The 10187-nt window shown below is 51.2% G+C and overlaps 1 protein-coding gene across 1 annotated transcript, besides 4 other annotated features; it reads left to right on the top strand.

Annotated features, from left to right (window-relative positions):
* Nucleotides 1905-2406: an enhancer, noted in NCBI's record as "H3K4me1 hESC enhancer chr11:20184527-20185028 (GRCh37/hg19 assembly coordinates)". NCBI's record gives its function as "activates a minimal SCP1, AML or CMV promoter by ChIP-STARR-seq in primed H9 embryonic stem cells {active_cell/tissue: H9 hESC(primed)}" and the evidence as "EXISTENCE:reporter gene assay evidence [ECO:0000049][PMID:30033119]".
* Nucleotides 3531-4030: an enhancer, noted in NCBI's record as "NANOG-H3K4me1 hESC enhancer chr11:20182903-20183402 (GRCh37/hg19 assembly coordinates)". NCBI's record gives its function as "activates a minimal SCP1, AML or CMV promoter by ChIP-STARR-seq in naive H9 embryonic stem cells {active_cell/tissue: H9 hESC(naive)}" and the evidence as "EXISTENCE:reporter gene assay evidence [ECO:0000049][PMID:30033119]".
* Nucleotides 4031-4532: an enhancer, noted in NCBI's record as "NANOG-H3K4me1 hESC enhancer chr11:20182401-20182902 (GRCh37/hg19 assembly coordinates)". NCBI's record gives its function as "activates a minimal SCP1, AML or CMV promoter by ChIP-STARR-seq in naive H9 embryonic stem cells {active_cell/tissue: H9 hESC(naive)}" and the evidence as "EXISTENCE:reporter gene assay evidence [ECO:0000049][PMID:30033119]".
* Nucleotides 4912-9232, top strand: DBX1 (developing brain homeobox 1). Its single transcript, NM_001029865.4, has 4 exons — nt 4912-5429; nt 6095-6196; nt 8148-8350; nt 8814-9232. The coding sequence occupies exons 1-4, from the start codon at nt 5063-5065 to the stop codon at nt 9171-9173; spliced, it is 1032 nt and encodes a 343-aa protein (NP_001025036.2). The 5' UTR covers nt 4912-5062; the 3' UTR covers nt 9174-9232.
* Nucleotides 7918-9117: an enhancer, noted in NCBI's record as "BRD4-independent group 4 enhancer chr11:20177816-20179015 (GRCh37/hg19 assembly coordinates)". NCBI's record gives its function as "activates an origin of replication core promoter dependent on BRD2, P300/CBP, MED14 and CDK7 cofactors, and independent of BRD4, by STARR-seq in HCT116 cells {active_cell/tissue: HCT116}" and the evidence as "EXISTENCE:reporter gene assay evidence [ECO:0000049][PMID:35650434]".
* Nucleotides 9233-10187: the final 955 nt, after the last annotated feature.

The following is a 10187-nucleotide window of genomic DNA, read 5'->3' as shown; positions in this document are numbered from 1 at the left end:
CTCTAGAGCACTCCACTTTCCGCCCCTCCACCAAGGGAGCACTCTAGAACCTGGAGGTGCTGTCCTTCCTGTCATCACCCTGGGCTCAGAGGCTGGGAGTTGCTGGGCCCCTTCATAAGGCAACAAAGAGCTGAGGGGTTTTAAACCTCAGGAGATCAGATCTGAAAGGGCCCTTAGAGAGCTTTCTGAGGCAACCCCCCTCGTTTTACCCATAGGGACACTGAGGCCCAGGAGACAAGAACTTTTCCTAAATACATATAGTAAAGTGAAATGGATTCAAATGTGAGTTAAAAGAATATTTAGATGCTGGAGGATCACTTGAGGCCAGGAGTTGGAAACTAGCCTGGACAACAAAATGAGACTCTGTCTTTATTATTATTTTCTTTTTTTTAAAAAAAAAGAATATTTAATCCTGCAGTCTGTGAAGAGCTGGTTAAGCAAGGAGAAACAATGGCTATTTTCAAGCAGAGTGGGACGGAATCTTCAGCTTTAAAAAGTAGCAGTATGAAATTAATTTCCCAGACAAGTGGGCAGAGATAATGATGGAGAGAGAAAGCACTCAAGGCTGGGCTTACCAAAATTTAATTTTGATTATTTTGAACGGTCTCATATCTCCTTGGCCCAACATGGTTTTAATATTGCTAGGGCAGAGGGTTGTCCAAGAAGGGAGTTGAAGTAAACTTTCTCCAAGTCCGCACTGCAAGCCCTGCACCGCTCTACAGAGATCCCCTTTATTCGGGTTAAAAAATAATAATAAAAAAAAAGAAAAAGAAAACACCAAAAAAACCCACACACACAAAAAAACAACACACAGTTAACCACCTGTCAGGGCTGAGGATACAATGAGACTCCTCGAAAAAGAGCTTTTCATGCATGCGTAATATATTTGTTCAGCTATTCACTTAATGAAGCTGATAAATGTGATGCAAGACAATAGTCAAGTTAATCTATTTAGTAAAATGTTTTGAGACTTTCAGGCTACGTTAAGGAGGGGAGCGTCCGGTGACATTTTCATTTAAATGCGCTCATCTCCTCTCTTAGGCAGCACAAGGGGGTTCGGGCAATCTATGTGAATATAATTTCTTATAAATGTGTCTTTAATGGGTTTAATTCACCCTTGCCAGCTGTTTTGGGGGCTATTTTGTAAGAGCAAAACAAACGTTTCGGGCTTGGAAAGCTAGTTAAAATTTGTTTCGGTCAGCGAGGCCAAGCTATATTTCCTGCAAACCATCTGCTTGATTGGCACAATAGAAGGATTTTCAAGGAAAAAGAGGGGAGTGAGTGTGAAAGGGATGGGGGGTGAGGGGGGAGACACTAGAAAGAGCTGGGGCAGCGGTAGCTCCTAGTGGCCTATTCTGAAGGTGAACCCCTTAGAGCTGTCTTAAAAGAGAGGCTTGCGAAGAGGGGCTGGGGCGGTAGGAAAGCTCTTTCAGTCCGAGCCTCGCAGCCCTCCTCCTTCGCCTCGCCCGTTAGCTCCCTGCCCCCCCTCCCCACACCCCCCACCCCAAAGCCAGGCGTCGGGCGCTTTTCCCTGTCGCCGCCCGGCATCCGGCCAATCTTTCCAAAATGCGCTCTCACTCTGTTGGCTGCTCCGGCAGGGAGCATGGAGGACTGGGGGTCCGAAGCCTGCAAAGGGTGACCTTAGCGTTGCAGCCTTCCCGAAACGGAGACTTGCCATCTTTTCAGAGGGCGGGGAAGCTCACACCACTCTCTGCTTTATAGTGTCCGTTTCGCCTCGCTTGCTGGCCCTTCGCTTACCCGAGACATTCCAGGCACGGCTCGCACTGGAGAGGGCCGCGCTGCTGCTGCGACCGCACGGCGCCCGGGGCAGGAACATGCTCGCTCTCCCCTGCGCGGGGGGAACGAAACCCCCAGAGTGCGTTCCGACACGCTCTTTCTACTATCCAAGGCAGGTTTCGGCAGCTTTGGCCACCTAGGCCCGGGGAGCCCCAGCCGGATCTGCTGCGGCCTCCCCCGCAGCGTAGGCAAGGACCTTAAACCCCAAACCAGGGACTCCGATTCTCTCTTTTCCCCTCCCGTCTTCTTTTCTCTTGAAAGAGAAATAGACAGAAAGCTCAGCCTTGAGACAAAGAACGCGAGTGATTTCTCCGAAATAAACTTGAAGATAACGACATAACAGTGAATGGCAGGACGCACAAAACCCCATGGGCTCAGGTCAAATGGCATTAGTCACAGGTCTTAGCCGCAGCCGCCGCGCCGCGCAGCTCCTTGGGCTATCGCGGAGTTTGAAAAGACGCGTTCAAGGAGATCACTTAAAGTAAGATCCTTTCGTCCGATTTCTTGCTTCCTTAGGATTTATTTTTCCTTTCACGGGCGGCCAGCCCTCGCCCCCTCGCCCCCGCCCTCACTTTTCCTCTTTGGCGCTTTAGGAATTCTTTAGGAGGCTGTGGAGACCGACCCCAGGAAGCAGGGTCCACGTGGATCGCAGCAAGGGGTTGATCCACCCTCCAAAAAATGGCAGGGTAGACTTTTAAAAGCCGAGAAGTTAGTAGCAGTTAGTCTATAGTGAGGCAGAATGGCTGGGGCTTGGGGTGGGGGCTAGGGGTGGCATGAAGCCTGTCGACGGACAGGAAACGGTGAAAACTACACCCCGGCAAATGCCCCAACAGGGAAGGAGGAGCTGGGAAGGGCTCACGCTGGCTTCAAGTTCTTACCGTTCCCCCCTCCAAAAAAAAACAAAATCCAAGTTGATTTTGGCAAATATAGACTCTATTCTGATCATCCGGAAGACTTGGACAAGCGCTTCACCGGTAGGGAATCAAACATCCTGAAGCCCCCGGCGCGTCCTTCTGGGAACTGGCAATTGCCCAAGTCCTTAAGACTCGGGGAGAAAAAGGGGTGGGGGGCAGAGGGAAAGGGAGTGGGAGAAGGAGGGAGGTGGGCCTGAGGAAAAAAGTAAGGGAGAGGAAGGGAGAGAGCCAGTCTTATTGCAATGGGAAACTGTCTCATGGCAAGGTTAAAGTGCAGGTGTTCAGATAGCTTATGCTTTTCTCACCTATTTTATTGCAAACTTCAAAAAGGAACTTTTGACGTTCTTCGACAGATCTCCTTCTTCCGTTTCCAGGGGACTCCAATTAACTCCAGCAAGGCGCTTCCCATATTTAAATAGCCCCTTATTTAAAAGTTGTTTCTTTCCTGATTGGTTTTCTCCCGCTGCCCATGAGCATGAGCGGTCTTGGGCTCAGAAACTCCGCACTTACGTCATCTTCTAGCATTAATTCGCCTCTGGAGCTGGGCCCTAAATAACTTTTTAATTTGAATCAAGGGAGAGTTTTAGCCGGCTCCGTTTCTGGTTTAATGTGATATAAATCGCAGATGCACTTTTATTGAATGGTTAAAGCAGCGACATGGAGATCATCAACACAAAACACCCCGAACAAAACCATCGAGAGAAATAAAGCTGGTTAATAAGATTTTTGAGAAAGCTTTGTGTTAAAAAGCAAAAAGGAAAACCAGCTGAAGGTGACAGTTAGTTCATGGTTAATAGGATCAGGGCGGCCTGGCGGGGCTGCACACTTCTCTTTGGGGAGGTTCAGCCACACTAAAGAGATGAATGGGACATTTAACACATCTGTTATCTCGCCGAACAGAGAAATGGGGGGAATCGAGTCTTAGTACCACCTCAGCCCCAACCAGAGGAAAGCGAAGGGACTGTCTCCAGGAAGATTCTCCTTTGAAGCCCCACATTCAGGGGAGGCTTTCCCGGAGTGGACCAACATTCTTGGGAACCGCATCCCTTCCCTCTGGTTTTCACGCGTTTGTGCGTTGTAGTTAATTAAGAAGCTGCCAAACCTTGGGCCAAGTTAAGGGCCCCGCAAGTGGTAGGGTTCTCTCCAGACGACGTCTGGACCTTCGCTGCTATGGCTTAAAATGTCAGGGCTGTGAGTTTCAACTTAAACTGCCGAGAGCTCCCTGTGTTTGGAGAACGGCCAGCATAGCACTCACAGCCTTTGGATACCCTTGCCCGAGGCAGTTTCCGGTCAGCCTAAGCTCTTTGCAAGCGGAATCCTGCCGCTCGGCAGCCCAGCGCCGCTCTCCTCCGCTCCTCCCGCAAGGTGAGGTGCGGACAGCCCCTTGCAGAAACTCCTAGAGAAAATCGTTTTCCAAGTTGCTGGGAATTTGAAGGAGACTCGTTTTACTTTTCAGGTATCCACCAACGCTCAAACTCAACCAGTCTCCCGAAATGAAATAACTCCAGACCTCTCCCCACTCTTACGGACACACATCCAGTGGCCCCAAAGCATCCGTTTCCAAGTTTCCCTGAGTCGTCAGAATGGGACTTCTAACACTGATTTCACTCACCCCTACATTTGCTTTATGCTTCAGCTGGAGTAACGGATAGGGCTAGAGACCGGAAAGGGAGTATATTTTCATGTCCACTGACTTGAAACTTTTCATTGCCCTACCCCCACAAGAGGGAGGGCAACTTTGCTGATAGCCTGAAGATGTATTTCTATGAATATTTATTGATTTATTTTCCAGGCTTAGCAGGGGAGCTGCAAATAAATTTAGTGGGTTCTTTAAATAATTCCTTTTCTATGAGGCAAGATGTCATCTGAAACTTCTAAATAGGCATTTAATTAGCCCGGGTGTTGCTTCGGAACAAAAACCTTTGGCGAGAGCTTTGGGGGCGCACTGTATTGCAAAGAGGCGGTCGATATGCAAAATTGATGCGCGCGGGCCTTTGTTGCCGGCCCATTGTGCGGGCCATGCTTATGAAGACTAATCCAATCATAAATTGCACCCCTGCGCCAATCAGAGAGTCCAGAGCCTCCGGCGAATGAAGCTCGAGTGGAGAACTTTGTTGAACTTCATTGTCAGAGCTGTCACTTTTCAAAGTGCTTTAGCGGGCGGGCCACTATAAAACCATCACCTCGACGAGAGGACCACGGAGGACTCGCAGACGCCCAAGTGGGATTGTTACTTGGAGACGTTTGCTAAGCCCAAGAGAGAGGACACTGTGGGGGCGGGAGGGGCGGGAAGCGAGGCGTTTACCCTCCGGCCACTGAAAGAAGGGTTATTTCGCCCGCCCGCGCCTACCATGATGTTCCCCGGCCTCCTCGCGCCCCCCGCCGGGTACCCTAGCCTCCTGCGGCCCACGCCCACCTTGACGCTGCCCCAGTCCTTGCAGTCGGCATTTTCCGGCCACTCCAGCTTCCTGGTGGAGGATCTGATCCGCATCAGCCGACCCCCCGCCTACCTGCCCCGCAGCGTGCCCACCGCCAGCATGTCGCCGCCCAGGCAGGGGGCCCCCACGGCCCTCACCGACACGGGGGCCTCGGACCTGGGCTCCCCGGGTCCCGGCAGCCGACGGGGCGGCTCTCCGCCGACTGCCTTCTCCCCTGCCAGCGAGACGACGTTTCTGAAGTTTGGAGTGAACGCCATCCTCTCCTCGGGGCCCAGAACAGGTAAGCGAGGTCAGAACCCTAAGGGCCCATTCAGGTACTAGGCATGCGCGGAGTCATCCTGGCCTCAGTTTCCTCTAGCGAGCGGGCCCCCACACACACATCGGTGCACACACAATACGCACGAACTCTGAGACCCTACGTCAGGCAATGTGAGAATAGTCCAGTCAATTCCGGGGAAGAAAAGCCTCCAGGCTCGCCCCATCCTCGGAGTGAACTTGAGCACACGCAGTCGGAGACTGTGCGCAGTCATCTGGTGCAGTAACGCTGAGCGCACGCTCCTGGACGTCTGCGTTTCTGCCTTCGAGCTTCTAGGAGACAGTTTTTTTTTTTAAACTCAATATGATATATTTATTGGATTAGCAAATATTATAAATCTGCAATTTCTTTCCTCCCCACTCAGTCCTATCTCGTTAGTGCCTAGGATGGAGATTGGGGTAGAGTGGGACGGCGCAGAGAATTACGTTGGGGAGAAAGAAAAGAGTTTTACAGATAAGACAATGTTGGGAAGATTTATTTTACCCTGTCAACGTATAAGAAAGATGTCTTTGAAACCAGATGAAGGGCTAATTATATCGTGTGTTCAGTGTGCTATACAATAGGCAAGTACGTAATCAGATTCTTTCTGTCTCCCTCTCTCCTTCTGTCCCCCCTCCATCGCCCACCAGAAACATCCCCAGCCTTGCTCCAGAGCGTCCCTCCCAAGACCTTCGCCTTTCCCTACTTCGAAGGGTCTTTTCAGCCTTTCATCAGATCTTCTTATTTCCCAGGTAGGTCTCGTCCCCCTTCTTTGCGCGAGGCAGGGCGGCGCCCCAGCCCCGGCCCATCGCTCCCTGCTCCGAAGCCGTATTTCTCCGTCCACCCCTCGGGGTTATGCTCTGGTTCAGAGGTTGCGAGGCGTATAACATTCATGAATCCGTCGCGCCAATTTGATGCCCTATTGAGCACAAGCAGTGACTGCTTGACACTTTGCACCAATTCCCTGCTCTACAAATTAGCAGGAATTGTCATGGTCCCAATTTGAGGCGGTTCCCTTCCCGGCGAGGAGCTGTTGGCATCCCTTCACGCCGCCGTTTTCCCACAGAGTCAGTGCACTTGGCCACGATTCCCCACAAAGGTTTCAGCACCATGACCAATTGGTCAGCTCCTCCGGGCAGCCACACACAGACCGGCCCTAGTCCCTCCACGCCGCCGAGAGACACCTACCAGCCGGGGCTAATTTCTCTTTAAGACTCATTCAGGGCTTCGGGCTTTTCACAAGACCACATGGGGTGCCCTCTTGTGTGGGATGCCTAGGGTCGCCCAGGGGGAGGGGGATTAGATCCTCCCCCAATCCCAACCTATTTCCAGCCTGATTTCCAAACCCCTTCTCATACTCCTTTCCCACCCTGTATTATAAAATACCGTTGATCTTGCAAAATAAGAAGCAGTTAGAAGAAAGCCCATAATTGTGTCCCAGCCTAAAACAGCAACACCTTAGGCAGCTTCCACCAGGTTTTCTTCCTGTAACCTCACTGATGATTCAAACTATGGCTCAAAAACTCTGCCACTGGTCAAAACTAAAAAGGAGGCAGGAGAGTCCCTATACAGAGAAGAAAAACTGGGTATGGCCTGCGGGGGATGGGTAAAATCACGACAGCACTCCCAAATATCAGCAAAAGAAACAAGCAATTGATTTTTTAAAGGGGAGAGATAATTCGCCCTCCCCCCACCCCCCAGCACCACCACCACCACCACCACCACCACCACCACCACCATTCACACTGCTGCTAATAATGGAATTTGCTCCCTTTCTCCCTCATCTCAATGCTCTAACAAAAACAACCCGAGCTTTATAAATAGCTTTTCATGTCCATTTAATGAAAACGATTCGGGGAAGAGAAGCTTCTGCCATCAGTATTCTCCCAATGGTCTTGGCCTGCAGTTGTGTTTAGTTTGAAAGTGTAAATCTCTTTTGTCCCAGTAATATATGGCTTTCGCTGCTTGTCCTCAGTCTTTTTCTGTTAGTTCATTACTACACAATTACCATTCACGCTTCATTAGAGTCTCTGTTTCTTTTTGTTTTGTTTTTTTCTTTCGCTTAAAGCAAAACTCTCCCCCCTTTTATCATACCAATACCCATTGGGAAGCAGTCAATGTGCTAATTAGCTGCCACTTTTCATGTATTCGGGCCGAATTCTTTACGTTTCGTGGGGGAGGGGAGGAAGGATTAATATAAAAAAGATGAATACTTATTGGATTTTTCAAAAAATCTAAATCGGATTTTTCCCTCTTTATCAAAATAGTAAAGCACCTCATTTTCATCTAAAGAATGCAAAAGCCACTGAAATGATAAAAGCTTAGGGGAGAAACACAGTGGCCTCGGCTGGATATTTTATTTTTATTTTAGTAATTTATTTTTTCTATTGCTGTTTTAGTTGATGTACGCAGGTTTGTTTCCCTAAGTCCACTGAATGGAAAAACGAAACAGGCTATTGTGGGGGCTGTTTTCTCTGTTTCCGTGGTTTTACCTAATCCGGGTTTGCACGGTTGAAAGGGAAAGTTGTTTGGGCGGAAAGCGCCTTTCACTCTCGCAGGTTTGTAGGTTCGTGGCCTATTCTCCAGGGGGAGAAAAAGGAGCGTTTTAAAGAGATGAAGGGATCAGAGCAAAAAGCCAGGGAGAGCCGTGTTGGGACTGGGGGGCGTACGCCCACTCACTCGCCACCTCCCCCCACCCTGCAGCTTCCTCCAGCGTGGTGCCCATCCCCGGGACCTTCTCCTGGCCGCTGGCCGCGCGCGGGAAGCCTCGGCGGGGCATGCTGCGTCGAGCAGTCTTCTCCGACGTGCAGCGGAAGGCGCTGGAGAAGATGTTCCAGAAGCAGAAGTACATCAGCAAGCCCGACCGCAAGAAGCTGGCGGCCAAGCTGGGCCTGAAAGACTCGCAGGTGAGCGCATTTCCTCCACAGCACCCCCCCCGCCCCCGCCCTTCACCCCTCCCCGGCGCACCCGTCAATTGCAAGGGTTCGGAAACGGCTTAGGTCCCACTGTACAGATGGGAAAACCGAGGCCTAGAGAGGGAGTGAGTACACGGGCCACTACCCTCGAAGCTCCGCAGGATAGCCCTCTTCTCTCCCCACCCCGACTCCCCGCCTTCTCTCCCGGCCTCACCGGCCCCCAACCCCGCCCTTCGGGGCAGGGTGGCAGCGGATGAGGCAAACGGAACCGCGAGCTGAGGCGGGGGCGGAGTCAATGCGGGAATCCACCGGAACTCATTTCTGGGGGTGGGGAGAGGACACAGCCCGAAGGACAGAGCCTGCACCCGACTCCACTCCCCGCCCCCGTGCGTCCCCCGGAGCCCCTGATCTGACCTCTGCTTCTCCCTTCTTCTCGCCGGCCGGGACATTCCAGGTGAAAATCTGGTTCCAGAACCGACGCATGAAATGGCGGAACTCCAAGGAGCGCGAACTCCTGTCTAGCGGGGGCTGTCGCGAGCAGACCCTGCCCACCAAGCTCAATCCGCACCCGGACCTCAGCGACGTGGGCCAGAAGGGCCCTGGGAACGAAGAGGAGGAGGAGGGCCCGGGCAGCCCCAGCCACCGCCTGGCCTACCACGCGTCCTCCGACCCCCAGCACCTGCGGGACCCGCGGCTGCCAGGGCCGCTGCCCCCCTCGCCCGCGCACTCGAGCAGTCCCGGGAAACCTTCGGACTTCTCAGATTCCGAGGAGGAAGAGGAGGGCGAGGAACAGGAGGAAATCACCGTGTCCTAGAAGCCGCTCGCACGCCAGAGTACTATTTTTAAGTGCTTTGAAATCGAAGAGGTGGGGTCCAGTCTGCGCATTCACTTTGTCCCCGTGCCCAGATGCTGCCTCTCCCGACGGTAGAAACCATCACCTCATTGAGGGCGCCACCGGCCCTGCGGTAGCCCCAAAGAGACATTTCCTTCCCAACAAAACCAACTCCAAATAGTTCTCCCCACATCAGTTCACTTTAAGTCTTGGTCCCAGCCTTAACTTTTCAGCAAGGACTCCATTCTATTTTGTTTATTACAAACTATTTTAAACACAGTGGGGTGTTCTGTGGTCCCACGGCCTGGACCTTACTGTGAGACACACTCTGCTGGTCGTTAGCAGTAACCACCCTATATGGTAGGAAACCTGTTTATGGAGGAGGAAACCGAGTTGGGAGTGAGAACACCAAACCATATAACTAACTCCAGCACCGTTGACCCTCTAGATCCCTTCACCTCCCCTAATAGGTAGCAAGGGGCTCCTATTTCACTCCAGTCTCTCATTTCCACCCCCTACCCCACTTCTGTCTTCCCATAGATGTTCTCTTAGAAAGCTCAAGATTTTCAAAAAGGAAATATATATATATATATTAGTGCCTTCTGATTCAAGGCACAACATACATATTGAGTCTTCTCTGTCACCTTCCAAAAGCTCTCTGGCGAAAGAAGTGAGTTCTCTAAAGGGGGAAAAAAGCAGCAGTCCCTATTCTTGTATGTGTGTTTTAAAGCTTTTTCTTTTTAATGTCTGTATCCATGGTATACGCACCACACACTCTACCTTGTGCCCTTTTGTTATTCCTAGGGAGGTGTTGCTGAGCTGCAGACCTCCTGGAACTGGGCATGATGTGGACAGAGAGACCTGTACAGTCTCTTTGTTTTTTTTTTTAACTGAACTTTGCTGTCTTTGCACAGCTCTTATGAACTGTACACTATTTTGTACACACAGGTTGTATGGATATTTTATACCAAGGTTATTGTGAATGACTATAAAGGA

This window comes from Homo sapiens, chromosome 11 (genome assembly GCF_000001405.40).
Source record: "Homo sapiens chromosome 11, GRCh38.p14 Primary Assembly".
In the NCBI taxonomy this organism is placed as follows: domain Eukaryota; kingdom Metazoa; phylum Chordata; class Mammalia; order Primates; family Hominidae; genus Homo; species Homo sapiens.
The sequence above is the reverse complement of the archived record's forward strand: the minus strand, read 5'-3'. Positions and strand labels throughout refer to the sequence as shown.

Excerpts from the sequence above, each read along its gene's own strand:
- DBX1 (NM_001029865.4), top strand. The coding sequence starts at position 5,063 with ATGATGTTCCCCGGCCTCCTCGCGCCCCCCGCCGGGTACCCTAGCCTC. Across the intron at positions 5,430-6,094 it reads CTCCTCGGGGCCCAGAACAG|AAACATCCCCAGCCTTGCTC; the intron begins GTAAGCGAGGTC and ends ATCGCCCACCAG. Across the intron at positions 8,351-8,813 it reads TGGGCCTGAAAGACTCGCAG|GTGAAAATCTGGTTCCAGAA; the intron begins GTGAGCGCATTT and ends GGGACATTCCAG.